This window comes from Homo sapiens, chromosome X (assembly GCF_000001405.40).
Source record: "Homo sapiens chromosome X, GRCh38.p14 Primary Assembly".
NCBI classification, from domain to species: Eukaryota; Metazoa; Chordata; class Mammalia; order Primates; family Hominidae; genus Homo; species Homo sapiens.
Genome location: NC_000023.11, coordinates 105,398,461 through 105,418,868, shown reverse-complemented (window position 1 = coordinate 105,418,868; position 20,408 = coordinate 105,398,461). Strand labels below are relative to the sequence as shown.

The window sequence follows — 20,408 nt, the reverse complement described above, 5'->3', positions numbered from 1 at the left end:
TTTCAAAATACCTCCTTTTATCAGATCTCCAAACAACTGGAAAGCAAAAGTAATTGGGGTCTTTTCTCTTCTTGAGTTTTATAACAATATGATAAATGACAAGTATGCTGGGTATTTTTTTAAAGAACAAATTCCCATGTACATCTTGGGATTAGTGTAGATTCAAACCAATCTTCTCCATTCAACTATGTTTAGTATAATTGCAGTGGTGAGTATATTTTACTGCCTTCTAATTCTGTGAAAATTAGTCCAGGATTATTCCCTGCCAAAGAATTAATCAAAATATGCAATTAATTAGAACATGCAACAATTAGTTATACATGATATTATTATGTTTCAAGTGACAAAATCTCACCTATGGTTAATCTTACTTGTTTTTATACATACATCTGTGCTGGATGCTCACGGAATCTGTCATAACAGGCAACGGTTATGGCAAAGTCAAGAACAGACAGAAGGTATAGGAACTGAAAAAAAAGGAGTGAGACTGAGGCAGGGAGAGCTTTAACCAAAAAGGGGGAATTTGAATTTGGCTCTTGGGACCCTACTATACAAAATAACAATCATATATCAGTTTTTTTCCCACTTCTTTTAGGGTATTTGTCACAATTATTCATTGAGTCATTGATCCATTCATTCATTTTTTTTTTCAGTCAACTATGTGTTGAGCACTAACTATAAGCCAGACACGGTTGTAGGCCCTAGAATTACAAAGATCAATTAGATAAGGTCTCACTCTTTTTGGAGTTCACATTAAAGCTGAAAAAATGATAAGTAATTATGATTTAATGTACTAAGAGCTAAGCGAGGTATATGAAAAATGCTGTAAGTGGGCAGAGGAGAGAGGGATTTGTTCTACATGGGGAAAAGACTCAGAGAAGACTTTACTGATAAGATACTATTAAGAGTTGTACCTTGATAAATGAATACAAGTTCATAAGTGGAAAAAGAGGAAAGGGTATTCTCAGCAGAAGAAATTATGAAAGAGAGGTGTAAGCATACGTGTCATATTCTCTATGGACTGGGTACATTGGGAAGTAGAGGAGAGAAGAGTCTATAAATGTAGGCTAGAATAAGGATTACTACTACTTATGTACACAAGTGATCCTTTCTAACAGACTAGAAGCTTCTTGAGGATAAGATCTAGGTCTCATCTTTTCATCCTGCCATTTACTCATTCAAAAAATATCTTCAATGCCTCCTACAAGACAGGAACTTGAGCAGATAAACAGTATTACTGAGGCACTGACTTTTCCCCAAGGGAACTCATACTATGGTAATGGAGAAAAATGTAAAAACAAATAATTTTAGTACATGTGATGAATGCTGACCAAATGAATACTCTTTCTTTCAGGATTTTCTAATAATTTCATATAAATCACATAATTTATTTTTTGAGACGAAGGCTCGTTCTGTTGCCCAGGCTGAAGTGCAACAGTGTGATCTTGGCTCGCTGCAACCTCTGCCTCCCTAGTTGAAGTGATTCTCCTGCCTCAGCCTCCCAAGTAGCTGGGATTACAGGCACACGCCACCACACCCAGCTAATTTTTGTATTTTTAGTAGAGATGGGGTTTCACCATGTCGGCCAGGCTGTCTTGAACTCCTGACTTCAGGTAATCCACCTGCCTTGGCCTCCCAAAATGCTGGGATTACAGGCGGGAGCCACTGCGCCCGGCCTACTTCATATAAATCTTATACAAATCTAATTTCCTGTTTGGTGAAAGAAGAGGCAGTATCTCACGATTTTGTTTCTTTAAGAACTCTCCCTCATATCCTGACTCCCTAGCACAGGGCTAGATGATCATTAAATGCTTTATTTCAAATGAAATGAACTAACTACAGAAGAAAGGAGAAAAGGTTGCAATTTACAAAACTGAGCTAGATCTGCAAGACATGGAATAGGGGACAAGAACAAAGTATGAAAAAATACTGTCGCCTAGGTGTGGGACCCGAAGGAAACAGAGGACTTATTAAAGAACCAGCTTTGATGTTCTGCTTTATTTTTAATATGTTGCTTTTGAGGTTTGGATTACATCAGCCAGAGATGCTGCTGTTAACCCCGCAAGTCTCTTTCTTAAGACAATGAGAAGCAAGCGAAACAGAAGCAAAGGTGGGGTGAGAAAAGAGCTCTTATCTTTCCTCTTTAATACAGGAAGGCTACGGAGAGAAGGATTATTTAAGAACTGATTTAATAAATATAGAGTATATAGAGGGCTGGCAGTAGAGAAAATAGTAGCAGTAGTATTAATCGTATAATTTAAAGGAGTAAAAATAATAGTTTACATTTATTGCCAAGATTATGCCAAAATACTTTACATGCATTACTTTTCATTTTCATAACAATTCTATGAAGAAGTACCATCATTTTTCCTGCTTTACAGATACAAATACTGAAGGACAGAGACGTTAGGTAACTTACCAAGGCTACACAGCAAATAATGTCGTGAAAAGAACATTTGAACTCAGGCAATCTGATTGGAGATGCGATGATTAGACAAGGCACAGAGGCAGAAGTGGGAGTACTTCAGGTGTTGAGACATTGATAAAATAAGTATGTGTGTATGAGTGGATGGGGAAATAGCAGCAAAAGATAGAGATGTATCTAAGGCAAACAGTGTCACATATACAGGAATCACGTAATAAGATTTTTTTTATTGTGGCTTATTAAATGGTATCTTATAATAATGGCACACTTCAATTTTTCAATGCTGTCTCAAGTCTGATTTTATCTATATCTATACCTACATCCATATCCATATCTATCTATAACTAACAAATATAAGCCAAAAGGTTTTAGTTTGCCTTTGGTTCTCCAAATTGGAAATGAGTAGATCAATCTTAATTTTGAAAGCATCATTTCCTGGGTATTATTTTTAAAATATCACATTAAGGCATTTTTATTAAAGGTAGAGGATTGGTTTTGATAACTTTCCCCAATAATAAATTCAGTAACTTCAAAAAGAGATGTTTTAATCTTTGTCTAATATATAGAGAGGATATGCCATAAGGAAAACACAAAAACAAAACCTAGAAAAACAACTTTTCTAACATAAGTAATTTTTTTATTTTGTTCTTTTATAACATTCCTATTTCAATGCAGATCGTAATGTGCTACTAAGTACAAGGAAGGCTTTTGGGCTATTAAAATGCTAATTATAAGGTTAACTTTAAGTCAGAAATGATTGTAGAAAAGGCACATAAGTAGGAAAATTTACTTTAAGATCATTTAAGAAAGGCCGTGCTTAAGCTCTGACTTTGACAGGGAAAAATAAATTTCTAATTAGAAAAAAATATAAAGAAAGTACAGTGCAATTATACTTATTTATAGCAAGACTGTTGAGCATTACAATTAGGGACACAAATTTCATGTTCCTGTTGCAAAAACTAACAATCTCAAATAGACATATAGCTCTGGACAGCTTCACCTAGAACACAAATAATGCTACTCCCATATTTAAGAGAGTAGGTATAGCAGTAACAAATATTTGCACAGTCTGACTTCCTATTATATGATAACCATTCCTATTATATATAACCATCCTAATGCTGGTTTTGCTTTGCTTTCTCCAACACCTACTCCACCACACTCCATTCCCATTGTGTTCACTACTGTGGATATACATATTATGCCTTAGAGAAGGGAACCCGAGTCACCAGCAAACAATTTAGAAAACTTCCTTTAAGAAGAAATTGGGATATGTCTTTGAAAATAGATCTTTTATTTTAAAGCAATGGAATATAGCTACTTATTGTGTTACTTATTCCCAAATGTTTAAAGACATAAGAGACTGGAAAAAAATCTATTAAAAATTGATGCAAAGCAAAGACTTTAATTTCTTACCTTCTTCCTCCCCCTTATCTTCCTCCTTCTCTTTCTATGACTATTACTATTATTACATCTGTACAGTAAATTATAGCTTATAATGTGTTCACATAAACATTATCTTATTTGATTATTCTACATTAATTTAATATTTACTGAGCATCTGTGCTTTGCCTAATACATAAAGCATACACTGAGCTTATCATTTTCAAAGAGAATTTTAGAAATAAACAAAAACTTTATCATTACATGTTGTGAAAAGTGCCATTAACAAAAATAACAGCATGCTATGAATGAGGCAGCAAAATGTACCTACATTGGGATTCCAGAGAAGGTATACCTGAGTGACACTTGAGCTGAGAGGGAAGGATGAGAGCTTTTCAATCAAATGAATAGTGAAATGAAGAGTTTCCTGGGTCTACTGAACCTCACATGGAAAGCCCCTGTGCAGAAACAAGCTTGGCCCACTAGAATGGAGTATAAGAGGCAAAAGATGAGGCTAAACAGGTACCAGAAGCCAGATGATGCAAGATCTTATAAATTCAAGTTAAGGAGTTTGAAGAATATTGCATGTATAGTGGGAAGACATTGAAGGCCTTTAATAAGAAAATGATAGTGTTGGCCTGGCGCAGTGGCTCATGCCTGTAATCCCAGCACTTTGGGAGGCTGAGGCAGGCAGATCACAAGGTCAGGAGTGTGAGACCAGCCGGGCCTATATGGTGAAACCCCGTCTCTACTAAAAATACAAACATTAGCTGGGCATGGTGGTGGGCACCTATAGTCCCGGCTACTCGGGAGGCTGAGGCAGAAGAATCGCTTCAATCCGGGAGGTGGCGGTTGCAGTGAGCCGAGATCGCGCCACTGCACTCCAGCCTAGGTGACACAGCGAGACTCTGTCTCAAAAAAAAAAGAAAATGATAGTGTCTTATTTGCCTTCTATATCAGCACTGTGTAATAGAAATACAATGTAAGCCATATAAGTAGCTTTAAGCTTTCCTGTAGACAAATATTTTAAAAGTAACATGAAACAGGGAAAATAAATTTTAGTATTGTATTTTATTTAACCAAACATAGCCCAAATATTATCACTTTGGCATGAAGTCAATATTAAAAATTATTAATGAGCTATTTTACATTTATCATACTAAGTCTTCAAAATCCAGTGTGTATTTTACATATACAGCACATCTCATTTCAGACCAGCCACATTTTATGTGCTCATTTAGCACATGTGGCTAATGGCTATTATACTGGACAATGCAGGCCTATAACGTTTGTTGTGGCTGCTGAGTAGAGAATAAATTAGATAATAGTTAAGTGGAAGTGAGTGTATTTGTTTCCTATGACTACTTAACAAATTACCACAAACGTAATGATTTAAAATAACAAGAATGTATTCCTACAGTTCTATAGATTAGAATTCCAGCATGAGTCCTGATGAGCTAAAAATGAAATTGTAAGTAAGGTTGCATTCCTTCTGGAGACTCTAGGAAAAAATCCATTCCTTTGCCTTTTCCAGCTTCTAGAAGCTACCCACATTCCATGGCTCATGGTCCCATGGCTCCATCTTCAAAGCCAGTAGAGCTGGACTGACTCCCTCTCCTGCTGTCATCTCTCTGATTCTGTCATTTCTGCCTTCTTCTTCTTATAAGGACCTTTCTGATTACACTGGGCCCACCTGGATAGTATAGGATAATCACCCTATCTCAAGGTCAGCTAATTAATAGCCTTACTCCTCCCATTTCCATATAACATAACATACTGATATGTTCCAGTGATTATAATGTGAATATTTTTGAGGGGGACATTATTCTGTTTACCACATGGGGAAAAAAACCCATGTTATCGACATTAGCACAATGTTTTAAAATAATCAATTTGATATTTTATAAAAACAATACGTTCTTATGACAGAAATTCATAAAATATAGAAAAGCACAGAAAATAAATTACATATACTGTAATACAGAATCTTACCACACTGAAACATTCATTATTAACATTTATTAAACATCATTCCAGCCATCTATGTAGAGATATAGATAGAAAATTGGAAAGAAAAATAATTTTAAAAAATAGGGTAACATTCCATATTATATTTTGAATAAATGCATTACTTTCAGTAATTTTCCTTGAATTTAACAAAAATCAAAGTCAATTAGAAGAAATTGCTAAACTCCAAATATATTTTTCTTCATCAGAATAATTTTTATTTTTTATTGACATATTGTAGTTGTACATACTTATGGAGTACAAATCAATGTTTAGATGCATAAATGTTGTATAATAATCAAATCATAGTCTTAGCATATTCATCACATCATGTGTTTATAATTCTTTGCAGTGAGAACATTCAAAAGCTCTCTCCTAGCTCTTTTGTAATACACTATACCTTACTGATAAGCATTGTCACCAGAACTTCTTCCTTCTAATTGTATCTTAGCATGCATTGACCAACTTCGCCACATCCTTCCTTCTTTCTCCCACCTCTGCCTCAGTCTCTGTTTCCCTTATTACCGTTGTTCTACTCTACTCTTCTATGATATCAACTTTCTTTTTTTAGATACCACATATGAGTGAGATGGTATGGTATGTGTCTTTCTGAGTCTGGCTGGCTTCACTTAACATAGTGTCCCCCAGGTCCAACCAAGTTGCTGTAAATGACAGGATTTCATTCTTTTTTATGGCTGAATAGTATTCCATTGTATATATATATATATATATATATATATATATATACTACATTTTTCTTATCACTCATCTGCGTTGGACATGTGGGTTGATTCTATATCTTGGCTATTGTAAATAGTGCTACAATAAATATTGGAGTCAGATACTTCTTCTTTTTTGATGTAGGCATTTATTACTATGAACTTCCCTCTTAGAACTGCTTTTGTTGTGTCCCACAGGTTTTTGTATGATGTGTTTTCCATTGTCATTTGTCCCAATGAATTTTTAAGTTTTCTTTTTAATTTCTTCATTGACTCACTGGTTACTTAGGACTATGTTGTTTAATTCCCATGTATTTGTAAGATTGCCAAAGTTTTTCTTTTTATTGATTTCTAGTTTTATAGCATTTTGATAAGAAGAGATACTTGATGTGCTCTTTTTCTTCCTAAATTTGTCAATATTTGTTTTGTGGCCTAACACATGATCTATCCTGGAGGATGTTCCATGTGAAATTGAGAAGAATGTGTATTCTGCAGTTGTTTATTGGAATGTTCTGTAAATGTTTGTTAGATACATTTGGTCTACGATATAGTTTAAGTTCAACGTTTCTTTGTTGACTTTCTTTCTATTGTTGAAAGTGGGGTGTTGAAGTCCCCTACTATTATTGTTTTGCAGTCTATCTTTCCCTTTAGATCTAATAATATTTTCTTTACGTATTTGGGTGCTCTGGTGCTGGGTGCATATATATTTACAATTGTTATATCATCTTGTTGAATTGATCCCTTTATCATTATACAATAATCTTTTGGTCTCTTTTTACTGTTTTTGACTTACAGTCTATTTTATCTGATATGAGTATGGCTATTCCGGCTTACTTTTGGTTTCCATTTGCATGGAATATTGTTTTCCATTCTTTCACTTTCAGTCTATGTTTGTCTTTAATAGTGAGGTGAGCCTTTTGTAGGCAGCACATAGTTGGGTTTTGTGGTTTTCTTTAATGCATTCATCTACTCTATATCTTTCACTAAGGAATTTAATCTATTTACATTCAAGGTTATTATTGATAGGTACGAACTTACTTCTGCCAGTTTATTGTTTTCTGGTTGTTTTATAGATCATTTGCTCCTTTCTTCCTCTCTTGTTGTTTACCTTTATGGTTTGGTGGTTTTCTGTGGTGTTAAGTTTTGTTTTCTTTCTCTTTATTATTTCTGCATCTGCTGTGATTTCTTTGTTTGTGGTTATCATGGAACTAACATAATGAATCTTAGAATTACAATAGACTATTTTAAGCTGATAACAACTTAACTTTGGTTGCATAAAAATGCTCTAGATTTTTCTCTCCTCCCACATAATTTGTATTTTATTGCCTTAATTTATAACTTTATCTTTGTTTCTACCTTAGCCACTAATTATAGCTGTTGATGCTTTTGACACTTTTAACTTTAAACTTTCATACTAGAGGACTGAAATACTTACATAGCAACATTACAGCACTGGGGTATTCTGAGTGTGATTTTGGAATTATCTATACTGATGGGTTTTATACTTTCACATGTTTTCACATTGGTAGATGTCATCCTTTCACTTCCAGATGTATGAATCCCTTAAGCATTTCTTGCAAAGCCAGTATTGTGGTGGTTAATTTTCTCAGTCTTTCCTTCTCTCAGGGGGTTTTTATTCCTACTTCATTTCTGAAGGATAACTTACTTTGCTGGATATAGTATTCTTGGCTGATTTATTTTTTCTTTAAGTACTTTGAGTATCTCTTCCAATTCTCTCCTGGCCTATAAGTACCAAGCCTATCCCAGGAGGGGAAATAGTGTGAAGAAATTTCATTTCCTCACTCTATATCCTCTTCTCAATCAACATTAATTAGGCTTCCTTTACCACCACTCAATAGTCTCCACTTTGCGCAGTCTGATAGCCATTTCTCAGCTCTCATCCTCATTATCTTCTCAGTAACATTTGGCATAGTTTACTAATCCCTCCCACTTTAAATGCTCTCTTTCTCTTGGTGTTGCCTCCTCCTATAGTCTCTCTTTATTTTTTTCCTACCTCACCAACCAATACTTCTATTTGCTAACTTCTCCTCCTCTGCTTCATGACTTTATATAACATATAGATACTGATGACTCCCATATATGGATCTACTGCCTTGACTTCTACCCAGAAACTCAGGCTTCTCTATGTAACTATCTACCTAACATCTTTATATGGATGGCTAATTAATATATCAAACTTAATAAGACTAAATAGAGTTGTTGATGTTTACTTCTTTGCACCCTACACTTGATTTTCCCTCAAGTCTTCCGCTATCTTAATTAATGGCACCTCCATTTATCCAGGTGCTCAAACCAAACCTCTAGGTGTTTTTCCAATTTCTCTTTCCTTTACTGTTCATATTCATCTCACTAACAGGTGCTGTTGACTCTAAATCTTAAGCATACCCCAAATCTATACTGTTTGTTTAAAATATGTTTTCCAACCCCCCCCCCACACTCTATCTATCTGTCTGTCTGTCTGTCTGTCTATCTATCTATCTATCTATCTATCTATCTATCTATCTATAAATCAAAGCCAATTTGGTCCCTGCCTACCTTTCTGACCTCATTTCCTACCATTCTCTACTTCTCCCACTAAGCTTCAGTCTCACTAATCTTTCAATTTCTTAAACATGCTGAGTTCATTTTTGCTTTGGGCCTTCACATAATATGAGCCTGGAATTTTTTCCCCACTCATCTTCATGTGGTTGGCTCCTTCATGGCATTCAGATCTCTGCTTTCCCTTACTACCTGGTCCATTCCATCTCCTCAATTTCTACCACATCACATATGTTGTTCATCTGGGTGGCACTTACCACTAGCTGATAATTTTTGTATGTTTTGTTTTCTTCTTCACTTTCTCTCTCCCAAAAGAGTATAATCTTTGTGAGAGCAGAGATGCTATCTGTCACTTTTGTATCACCTGCTTCTAAGACAATGCCTAGAACATAGTAGTGTCTCCAATAAATAATTGTTAGATGTATATAATTTTTTTAAAGAACACCTAACCTATAGCATTTTTCATGGCAATGGTAATTTATCCTGAATTTTACATGTGCTTTCAAAAACTTCAATATATAGAAGTTATTTTGACTGGTTTGGAGGCATAGGTTTGGAAAAATTGATTTGACTGGTTTGGAGGCATAGGTACTCAAAAATTAAAGCTGTGAAAAAATTTAATAAAGGTAAACATCAATGTTTTGTTTGAAATATTAAGCTATATGCTTGTAGACATACCTAAGCATTTCTAAAGAGAGAGATTTGGGAAATAAACCTCCTATCAGCCATAAGAAAAATTTTGATATTGGCTATAACTTACAATGATCTATTGTAACACTGCATTTTACAGATAATGGCATTAAAGCTCAGAGACAAAAAAATAGTTTTCCCAAAATCATATAGCAAGTAACTGGTAGAGGTATATCTAAAACCTGGGTTTCACTCTTTTTTTTTTTTCAACACTTTATATCATTTATTAATGCTGTATACATTAGATCTAAAATCTGCAGTTTCTAAGCACACCATGTTTAGATCTTTCAGATCCTTCTGCAGTTTTAGGTTATTTCTACAGAGGTACCTTTAAGTGAATGAATAACACATTCTATAATTCCTGAAAATATAGTACAGAGTGAAATGATTTAAATATAATTTAGGCATATATTGATTATGAAAATAGATTATCTCTCAATACAATACTTCTCTGTCTTGGTAAAAATAACAAAGCAAAGAAAATAATTCATTTCTGAAGTTGCTTTCCTTCACTTGTAAAGGTCTGATCTCCTCCCACTATGCATATGTACCCTTTACTGTTAAGGAAAGCTTTGCATATGTAGATATAGAAGAATAAGCTACGTAAATACTAAAGATATGTCATTCTCCCAAAGGAGACACAGGTGGTTTTCAATGATTCCTTGCCTCATGTTGATGAGTCTGTAGAATTCAGAACCCATTTGGACACAGCTAATATCCCTGCTCTTGGGGTAGAAAATAAGGACACCAGGTCATTGGTAGGGAGGTACAGGCCCTTCCTCTGCTGCTGCAGAGAGATAATGACTCAAGAAAATTGGGCTAAAATTTGTTTAAAAAAACACAAAAAATATAAGTAAAAGAATCACAGGTGCTGACTGATTGGTATTACATCTTGGACCAGCCAAATGCCTTTATTTTTACTTTACATCTGTTTTTTGGTGGCTATAATAAAATGTGTGTTTAAAATTCCTCATTCTCCACTGTAGGGTTCTAGCTGCAATTATATTACATTGCCTTTTAGCAGGCAACTCTACCATATTCACTCATATAAGCTTTGATTGCAGTAGCTCTGGATTTAGTATCTATTTCTAAGCTGGCCCTATGTAAACTATTTGGTATTTGAATTAAATGAATATTAATGATGCACCTTGGTTTTTTGGTTTTGAAGTATCTTCCTATGCTTGTGATGATTGTATGAGAAAACTAAGCTAATAGTGTAAATAGATAGAATTGCTTGGTCTGGTGTTGAGTGGAACTTGCCTAGAATGAAATTCTGAGAAATTCTCATTTATAAGTGTTGTAGTGATAGGTAAGTTATTCCTCCATCCGGAGTTCCACTGTACCTTTGGAATGACAGTGAAGTACAACGATGTCTTTCTTTCCACTCTGTCTCAATCAGTAAGAACTGGATATTACTTTAATTTAGCTACTGTTTTGTCCTAACCTAAAAAGTAAACATTATAAAAATGAACCTGAAAAGAGTCTTAGGGAGTCTAATCTCACCATATTCATATGGTATGACAGGTATTTAAAGAGGGGAGGCGTCACTAAAGCTATTTATAAACCTGAACAACCTTTTCCAAGTTTTCATAAAGTTTTAACAATTTAAATATCCATACTGCATCTAGGTATTCAATAAATATAATTGCATATGTTGTACTTTCCATAAATTAAAATCCTCAAATGCATCTCAAACCAAGATGGTATTTCCACATCATTCCTATTTAAAAGCAAATATAATAGATACTATTCCTGGTCATAAAACCAGGTAAACCCCCCTACCCCGTTCAAAAGGCAGCAATATCTAGTTTCCCTACATCTATTAAATGAGTGCTTTTCTGTTAAAAATCAGAATATGGAAAAAAAGTCAGTTTTTTCCCTTATGCACCGCTCAGAACAAGCATAATCCTCTAAATGTGTTTTTTTTTTTTTAATTTCCTTACAGTGTTATTTCTTCTAGACAACTGAGTGAGTGGAGAAAGAAAAGTGATAAGGAAAACATTTTCATCTTGTACATCTTCCTCCAGCCTCTAAAATTCTCATCTGACACTTTGTGACATGTGTAGTGGTGTCAGCATCTCTTCAAACACAGCTCCCTTCACGTTGGACCCTCTCAGGTTGGCTTCTTGAAGATCGCACCCAGATAGATCACAATTCTCTAAATCAGTTCCTGCCAGAGTTGCTCCTCTGAGGTTACAGTTCTTCAACTTTGCATCTTTTAAGGTAGCCACTCTCAGGTTAATTCCTGTCATCTGACTTCCTTCCATATCCACACCTTTCAGATTAGCACCTTCTAAATTGGCTTTAAGACCAGAAGGATCCTCAAAATTACACAGTTTCAGGGATGCTCCTTCTGCATTAGAACAGAGCATCTTGACTCCCTGGAGATTTGCACAGTTAAGTACTGATCCAGAGATCAGCTCATTCAAGATTTGCACAGCAAAGATTTGCCTGTGCAAGATTACAGCGGCTTAAATTGGCCATTTTGAAGTTAATGTATCGAAGGTCCAAACGAGAAAGATCAGCACCACTGAAGTTCAAATCCTGGCATCGCAGTTCTGACTTGGTTGGAGTTGCTAGCAAAAAATCGGACAAATTCCTTTCGGGATATTGGTGAATGATCCTCCGGTGGTTGAGAATTCTTTATTGCCACTTCCAGGTGTTAGATCAATGAGACAATACCAAAAAATCTTGCTTCTTCTAACACACCCAATAAATTAATGCCATCATTTACAATGAGCTGTCCATGACGCAAGGAGTTCAAAATGGGTTCAAAGTACTCAGGACTTCGGTCAATTAAGAAAGCGCCTCTATGATATTGCTTATTTCCCCAGACACTTTTGTCCTTAAACATGTGGGCCAGCATACTGTCAGGTTCTTTATTCACTAAAGTGCTCCTTAGAATTCAGGGAAACAAATTGATTTCTCCATTTGTCTTTATAAACAAACACATTTAAGTCAAGAGTATACTCGATCCCAGCTGCTCTCTCAAAAAGATGCATGCTACAACCTGGTAGGAGTAATGCGTGTAGTTGTAAAGTACCGCCCTCCAACATTTAATGTCAGCCAGTCTGTGTGGAATCCTAACAATCCCTCAGGAGGCTTAGAATCTGTCTGAGGATCAATAAATGATTCTCCTTCACAAACAAACAAAACATCATCATCCCTGATCAAAGCAATATCATCAATCAGTCCACCTTTCCCATTATACACACTGGTGGCTTTTATGCCGAGTTTACTGCTGGCCACAGAAAGCAAATCAGATAAAGTTCCATATACAGCAACCACCTGGCTTACAGCAGGTCTTTGATAAATATTTCTTGAATGCTGAGTGTTGAAGTAGGACACACTTTTGTGTGACAATCAGTCATATTCATTTAAGTCTCTTACTCTTTCCGTTCTTAGGGCTGCCTTTCAGGAACAGGGTCACCCGCCTCATCGCGCTGCCCCCGCTGGGTCCTGAGGGAGCCGCCACCCTCCCACCTGGTCCTCCTCCCACCTTTTTCTCCTCTCGCCCTTCCCCTCCCTCCACCCACTCGGATTCGCCTCCCTTTGCCACCTTCCTGCCCTTGGCTAAAACCTGGGATTCACTCTTAATTTTCATTCCATGTTCCAAGCAAATGCTACACTATGTTATAAAAGGCTCCAAATATATTATATTTTCTGAAGCTTATTAAATTTTCATACAATTATAGGATGTTAATGCAAGATTTTTAATTTTAGTGGTCTCAAGTATTTCTTTCTCTAGAGGAACCAAAATTTATATCACTGTTAATCTTATGTTACCAAATCAAATCAAAGTTAAACCTAAAGGTATATAAAGGAAGAATGTTTGAGTATTTATATCAAGTTCTGTACAGACATATGAAAATGCATATAAATTTCATTATCTAACTTATTTTATTATTCTGAACCAAAATGATTTTCATAAGCTTTGAAACTCCAAAAATCAAACTAAACATGTCTACAAAATCAAACCTTAAATATAATACATTGTAAAGACACTTACATGAACCATACATCACTTATCAAAAACAAGTCTCTCTCTCTATATATATGTATATAACCATATGTGAGAATAAACACTACTGTCTTAGAATGTTTCAAAACATACAAAAAATCTGCCTGTATAGGAAATACATAAACTTGGTCATAGAATATTTATTGGTTAGGGTAGCATATAACCTAGGTGTCTATGTAGTAGCAAATAAAATCTTGTGAAAGTATGGCGAAATAATATGCATTTATTTCATTCTGTAAATGAGAAGAATCTTTTGTTGAATTTTAGATTGAATGTATACTAAGAGCCTTGCTTTAACTTCTTCTCAAGCTATGAAGAAAAATACCTTTTCAGATGACAAATCATCAGTTCTGGAAACTGTAGGGTCCTGCAGGATCCTTTCCTATATATTTGTTGAACCATTTGAATATAAATATGCAAAATATGGAATTGTAAGTTCAGGAGAACCTGCCATCCCTACCAACCACTACATCTGCTCTCCTTTTTGGGAATAAATGTGCCTCATCCCTCCTGTCCCTGAACAGAATAGGAAAAAAAGGGGAGGGAGAACAGAAAATTTCAAGGAAGAATAAAGCATCATCCTTTAATGAAAATGAATTACATATTAGAAATCATCTGTAATAAAAGCAACAAATACTAACAGTCTAATCCATGGTGGTGTGATGAGGTAACCTAGGGGCTGGGAAAAGAGGTGAGAACATATCACAGCACTACTCTAGTCTAGTTGATCTGTAAGGCTTAACATGGGAAATGAGAATGTGCTTAACATCAACTAGGCAAAGTCATCTAAACCAGTCTCATGCTCTGACAGACAAGGATGAAGCTGACAGTTTGCTCTCTTTTCTAGTACTTTGTCACTAGGTGGGCTCACATCTCTGTGGTTGGAGGAACAATGAGGCCAGATGAAAAATTCCCTGCTCTATTTATCTTCTAAACACAATGTCTAAGACTAGTTGAGGGACAGGACACAAGGATCAATCAATTAATAAGCCAATGATGAACATCAACTTTATAACTAGCACTGTATAAGGCACTTTGGAAGGGAGAAGCACCAGGCTGTATACCATCTATAAGAAGTTTGCCTTCTAAAACACTGTGCAAACATCAGAGTAGGCAGCAATACATTTTTGTTTCCTAAAGAAAAACTGGTTGATAAATTATTACGTTAACAAAAGAGGGAAGAAAGAGAATAAGAGCAGTAGGAGTTCAAAATTTAATGGCCGTTTGGAGGTGTGGAGGTTTGGATAAATTGGTTAGGGGAAAATGTGGGGAAAGTCTCAAATTTCACAGGCTGAGAAAGGTAGTAGCCCAAACCTTATCACATGTGAGCCTTCCAGGAGTTTGAACCTGAACCACTCTACAGGGATCTGAAGGTCACATAGCATCACTCTCAAATACTCCCCAAGACATGAACATTAAACCAAAATGACAAAAACATGATTAATGTGACATCCACCTCATGTGAGTTACCTAATGTTTTTGTTTTTATTTTGGTTCTTTATACAGATTCTGTCTGTTTCCATGAGCTTTTCTATAAATCATGAGCATCTGCAACCAAATTGCACCAGTAAATCTCATAAAACAGCTTCCCTGAGACTAGATTCAAGATGTTAACACAACAAGAAGTGTTCCCTCATTTTATATAATGGCTGGGTGGGTCTTTTATACTTTAGAAAAAAAATAATATTTCAAAATGTCATTTACTTGGTAGAGAAGCACCAGGGAAATGGCATTGTTGAATCTCTTTAATAAACTGTGCATTTATAGTCATTCTTAGAAAGCATTTGGAAACAAAAATGTATCTTCCACCTGTTTCACCAAATCACTGATTATTAAAAAAAATGATGCTATTCTGTTTGCCTAGTTCAACAGGTACTTTGAAATACAGAGCCAATTGGAAGAACTTAGAACCCTCTAATTTTTACATGACTATGTGAAGTTGGTTGCTACAACAAATCATGGGAAGGAAAGAAAACTCATATAAATCATGCAGTTCAATATGAACCACACAATGGTTCCATTCTCTCCACTATGTTGCAGCACACTTTAATTGGTGAAGTCTCTCCTTTGACATTTTTAGGATTTTCAAGATTTGCAAAGCTTAGAGTAGAACAGGTAATAAGAGAAAGATAAATAAAATAAGCTAGAAATATGAATAGCTTGAGCCTCTGTTATGAGTTAATAAATGCCTTAAATTAGGAAGAATTACAGTGGGATTTAGAGCTATTGGGATATATTTGCATCTTGAGCTAGTCTTTTATCCATTAAGTAGAACAATTTACTGACTCATTCTTTTGTAGGAAACAAAGGCATACTGTTACCTACTGTAATCTGTTAGCATAAAATATTTTTAACGCACCCTAATGTGAGCACATAGAGTATGAGACATATGTTCAGAACTGGAATCTGTACAAGATTTTAATTTTAATCAAAGCCAAAGCAGCCCATGACTTGGGTCACCGTTTGTCCTTCAGGAACAAAGACAGTGTGTGTATTCTCAGTGGTTTTGTTTCATCCTATTTTCATCATATAAGAATACAATTACTATGATGGAGACATAAAAGATATGAACAAAAAGATACCTAAAACAAATCAGTTCAGTAAAAAGCTATAATAATACATTCTTACAAAGTCCCTCCCCTTGACCTTTTAAAAATGTGTATGTGCTTTGAAAACAGGCTAGGAAAGTACATTTTCTTGTCATCCTTATCTTGCTGAAAGTGTTGCCAGTATTCAAAGTTGAGATGTATGTTTACAGAAGCTCTGGCTTGTAATCATTAATATTTTGAAATTGAGTCTTTCATAGCAGGGTGGTATAATTTTTGAAAGATCCTTATGATTGAGTGATAATGCCTTGCAACTCTGTATTACTTCAGATGAAATAACTGAAGATTTTAAAAAAGGAGTCAAAATTAATATTAGGTTATTTTTAAATTTTATTTTCATTTTTGAAAGTTGTATTGACTACTCCTCTATGAAACCTTTAGGAAACATCCCCTGATGTAACATGTCCCATGAACAAAACATAGTAATAGTTTAATTTTAGGAGCATTTTTCTTCAAATGGCAGATTAGGAAAGTGACAATTTTTTTCAAGCACCTAAACTTTGCTAGTTACCTTCAGGATACTTTAAAATGTATGCTAATTAATAGAATAAGTAGTTTTCTGTGTCTCCTCTAATAGGACAAAGATTTTAGTCAGGTTTTGGTTAACTCAAAGAGTTAACTAAATTATTAAGAATTTATATTAATGTTTTAATGTCAATTACTTTATATTAACAGTTACCCTAAGATTTCATAAGAATTAGAGTAAATAATCAGAATTTCATATACTTGGCCAAAGTCTTTCTTTTAAAAAAGCTAATAATCAATCACTGATTGATGATCTCTATCTCTAGATACCTTCATAACTTCTTAATGGCTTCATAAAGAAAATCACCAACCTAAGGGAGTCCTAGCTCTGGACTGCCTCCCAGTTGGAAGAAATTTTACCTAGCCTTACTGAAAAGTATAGATGAATTGTTATCCCTATAAAACTCTGCTTTTCACAGAGCATTACCTGTACAGTGCCTAAAGGTTCAATATCAAAGACTATAATACTCACAGAGGAAATTATTTTTGTTGTATTACTTTAATGCTGAGCACATTCCACAATATCCAGACTTTGTATCCATAAACTTATGGTGAGGCTACATTTCCTGTGAAAATGAAATATATCATTTGTACTCTGCTTAAGGATCCTGAGTGTCAACCAATCTCATATAACCTTTTGGCAATAGAAATGTGATTTTTAATAGCTTTGGACACCATATTTTTAGCTCTGTGATGATTGCTATATTTTGAATGTTCAGCCCCTCCAAAACTCATACTGGAATGTAATTACAATTTTAACAATATGAAAGTGTGGGACCTTCAAGATGTGATTAGGCTATGAAGGTTTCACCCTCATGAGTGAGATTAACGCCATTATAAAGGAATGAGTTTGTCCTCTTCTTATCTCTTTGATCTTCTGCCTTCTGCCATGTGAATATTAATTGTTCCTCCCCTCTGGAGGACACAGTGCTGAAGGCACCATGTTGGAATCAGAATTACCAAACCTGGTGGTACCTCAGTATCAGATTTCCAGCCTCCAGAATTGTGAGCCAATACATTTCTGTTCATTATAAATTGCCCAGTCTCAGATATTCTGTTATAGCAGCACAAAACAGAGTAAGATAATAGTCAAGACCATATTGTATTCAGTTTTTAATTCCCAGTCCTTACTTACACGGTAGCTGCTTCAAAATCTACATTCAGTATATTTTTATTGAATGAGTAAAATGCAGATTGATAAGTGCAGTGAAAAGACAAGTTAACTTAGTGAAGTAGTTGCTATGATGTAGCCAATAAAACCAGGTAATATAACTGCATTTTTTATTTTTCAAATGCATGCACTTGTGTCATCACCAACAGCATTAGGATCAAAGTATTTCCCTTAATATATTCTAAGATTTGGTTTATATCAAGTTTCATGGCTCAGTATATCTTGGGAATCCAGTGTGAATCAAGTACTGGGCTATGGATATTTAAGAGGGATTCAGAAAACAAATATTACACAGTCTCTTGAGTGAAAAGCCATGTATGAAATCATCATAAAAGTATAAGGTAGGATGATATAAGAGCCCGCACAATAAGTATATAAACAGTATAAATTTGTGCTATACAATATGAAAGGTTATTCTGTCTAGACTGAACTAATAAAGGAGTCATCTTGAAGGACATAAGACTTGAACTATACCTGAACAAAAAACAAGATTTGAATCAGTGGAAAAGGGTGGTGACTATAATACAAGTAGAGGATAGTATGATTAGAAGTACAAAGACTAAGATTTGTGGTTTTGAAAAAGAACAGAAAGACCAAGAATGTTGTAGGATATGTTTTCTGTTGCTTTTAGAATAAAGACAAAAGCTCATTAACATGGTTTGTAAGGTAATACACGATTTAGCACCTGCTTACTTCTCCAGCTTCATCTCTCCCTTCTGCTGCCTGGGATTCTACTGCACAGGAGACTGTTCTCACTTCCCAGAATATTTTCTTTTGATTTCTACTTAACTAATGCTAATTGTCTTTCAGATCCCAGATTAAGTATCACTTCCTCCTAAATTAGGAAAACTTCCCACCCTGCCCCATTATTAGCCTTTACAGCACTGTGTACCTCTCATTCAAGACACCACAGGTGTAATTTTATACTTATTTGTGTGATAATATGTCTGCCTCCTCCACTGAACTATTAGTTTTATAGAAGTAGGGATAATTTCTATTTTTTTACCATTATATCTACAGTGCTTGGAACATAATAGGTGCTCATAAATAAATGAAGTTGAAAAATTAAAATAGCATCAGATTAATGAAGGCCTTAAAAGTAGACTGGCAAATTTGCCTATATTGGAGCATCATACATTCATTCATCCAACAAATATATATTGAATATTTTATTATATGCCAGACTTTGTGTCAGGTACAGGAGATACAAAAATGGAAGATAGTTTCTGCCTGTGGTTCAATATGGGGGACACAGACAAACATAATAGGCAATTACAATATAGGGTGATCAGTTCTATGATAGAGAGAAGCATATGTTTGGAGTATTAAGGAAGCGACCTCTAAGAAGGATAGGGATGGTAAGGGGAGAGACTGCTTGAGAGGTATAGGTAATGTTTACATTGATTTTGACCTATACACTGCTTATAAGGACAAGTACAAAAAGTAACCAGTCAAGTGGCATTAGTAAATAGTAACAGAGTGTCTTTTAAAGTTTATATACTTTTTTGAAAAAGCAGAGGAATAAAAAAATGGGTCAATGAATTGGAACCCAAAACATTGGTGGTGCCAATTAGAGAGCAGACAAATTATGAGGATGATATGCACCAGCTTCCTATTCTTGTGGCCCTTTCAAGGGGATTTCTGAAGATTATAAAATTCACCTCATTGCTTTTCTGAATTTTTGTTCAATATGCATGTGAACTATAATGAGCATCTGTTCCACAGATATAACCTTGTCTCCAGACTTAGACAAGAACCCATTTTCTAAATATAGGGTCGACAGGGATAGTCTGAAGGAGGTTGTAGAGGACAAAATGTTTCTGTAAACTGTCAAGTCAACAAGTATGGACTAAGTTTCCGCTGGTTTCTCTGCACTGTGTTGGGCACTGTAGAGAAAACAGGAGAAGATCAGAAGAACAGTCTTGCCCTAGAGGAAGATTAACATGCTCCTTATAACAGCTGGCATTCTAATTTAACTTTCAGTTGCTGTAGAAAGGCACTGAAAAGGAAATAGCATTTTTTTCTTATATTTAAAATGCATTTCTTTCACAGATAACTATTAGAATGTTTTAAAGCATGTATGGAAAGGTTTAAAACTAAACATCTGAATCTTCCTAAAGCATGTTGGTTCATTTCCAAGGCCTTTCCTAAAATTAGCCATAGAGCCTTACTTTGAAATAAATATAGCAAATTATTACTTTGAAAATTGGGCTCTCAGACATCTCTGCTTCTACTTCAAATGGTCATTCCTAATTACATACACACACACACAAAAAAATCAAATATATCTTTAGATCGGATT

At 35.0% G+C, this 20,408-nt stretch overlaps 1 protein-coding gene and 1 pseudogene across 2 annotated transcripts in view; both read right to left on the bottom strand.

Moving 5' to 3' along the window:
• Positions 1–20,408, bottom strand: part of IL1RAPL2 (interleukin 1 receptor accessory protein like 2) — a 1,201,631-nt gene that overhangs the window by 348,961 nt on the left and 832,262 nt on the right. The gene's annotated exons all lie outside the window — the stretch shown is intronic.
• On the bottom strand, positions 9,987–13,356 carry KCTD9P2 (potassium channel tetramerization domain containing 9 pseudogene 2; annotated as a pseudogene).